Source organism: Homo sapiens, chromosome 8 (genome assembly GCF_000001405.40).
Source record: "Homo sapiens chromosome 8, GRCh38.p14 Primary Assembly".
NCBI classification, from domain to species: domain Eukaryota; kingdom Metazoa; phylum Chordata; class Mammalia; order Primates; family Hominidae; genus Homo; species Homo sapiens.
The window spans coordinates 58,464,321-58,466,256 of NC_000008.11; positions in this window are offsets into that span (position 1 = coordinate 58,464,321).

The following is a 1,936-nucleotide window of genomic DNA, read 5'->3' on the forward strand; positions in this document are numbered from 1 at the left end:
CAGTAAGACCGGTATTTCTGAGTAACTAGTAGCCCTAGTTGACGAGTCAAAGCTGTACTTTACAAAAGAATGCGAGCTAATAAATATAGATGATAATAGATAGAAAGATAAAATTCACCATTTTGCAGCCCTGATGAAAATTACTGACTCAGGCAAGGATTATCAGTTGATGTTAAAATTGTTAGGTGATCAATTGGTGGGGAAGTGAATTTCGTATGTGATTTGCTTAAGGAACATCAAAAAAAAGATCACATTCTTTTCACAAGGGGGAAATCATAAATTTACAATGGCAGAGGCAGGATAAGACTAAAATTGTACAATAGAGAATAAGGCCATCATCATCCCAATTCATTGACCAAACTTAGCACCCCTAATGCTAGAACAACCAGGTATTATCCATCTCCTAATGAATTGCCTATGGTGTATACACATTAACTATGATGCACTTTCAACTAAAACACTTAATTTGAACCCATGGGAACTTTATTTTTTATTTATTTATTTATTTATTTATTTTTTGAGACGGAGGCTCACTCTTCCGCCCAGGCCAGAGTGCAGTGGCGCTATCTCGGCTCACTGCAAGCTCCACCTCCCGGGTTCACGCCATTCTCCTGCCTCAGCCTCCTGAATAGCTGGGACTACAGGCGCTCGCCACTGCGCCCGGCTGATTTTTTGTATTTTTAGTAGAGACGGGGTTTCACCGTGTTAGCCGGGATGGTCTCGATCTCCTGACCTCGTGATCCGCCCGCCTGGGCCTCCCAAAGTGCTGGGATTACAGGAGTGAGCCACCACTGCCGGCCAAACCTATCAAGACTTTAGATGTAACTTTCAGTTTATTGGAAACATATAGAAGAATAAACAGTTGCCACAACGAAACAATTAGACAAATTCAGAAGGTGAAACACTTTACAGAACAGATCAGTGTCATTGAGAAAAAAAAAGAGACTCTTCTACATTGGAGAGGTAAGTAGTGTGGCTTGGACAGGATCCTGGTTTGTATAGACCAGATGTAAATGATATTTGGAAGGTGGTTTGTGAAATATGGACAGGGTATATTTAAAAATTATGATTAATTTTTGTGAATTATGATAATATTTTGGCTATCCAGAAAATGTTTCTTTTAAAATACATACTAAAGTTAAAATGTCTTCAAAAATGTAAATGGTGATGGCATATAGGCTTTGGAGACAGGCCTGGTTTGACACCTGACTTCATTTACCAGCTAGTGACGTTTGGTCAAGGCATTTAAACTCTATGCCTTATTAACTGTCAGGCCTCTGAGCCCGAGCCAAGCCATCATATCCCCTGTGACCTGCACGTATACATCCAGATGGCCTGAAGCAAGTGAAGAATCACAAAACAAGTGAAAATGGCTGGTTCCTGCCTTAACTGATAACATTCCACCATTGTGATTTGTTCCTGCCCCACCTTAACTGAGCGATTAACCTTGTGAAATTCCTTCTCCTGGCTCAGAAGCTCCCCCACTGAGCACCTTGTGACCCCTGCCCCTGCCCACAAGAGAAAAGCCCCCTTTGACTGTAATTTTCCACTACCCACCCAAATCCTATAAAACGGCCCCACACCTATCTCCCTTCCCTAACTCTCTTTTCGGACTCAGCCCACCTGCACCCAGGTGAAATAAACAGCCTTTTTGCTCACACAGATCCTGTTTGGTGGTCTCTTCACACGGATGCACGTGACAGTAACCTCATCTGGCAGTACCTACCCTTGATAGATAATGGAAATTACATGACATAATGCATATAATGTATTCTAACATTGAACTACTGCGCTTCTTTCCCCACTAACATACTGCTGGTTGGCCCATCTACTTTTTTTCTATTCCTAATTCTTCTTTTTCTTTTTGAGACGTAGTCTTGCTCTGTTGCCCAGGCTACAGTGCAGTGGCGCAATGCCTCAGTCTCCTGAGTAGCTG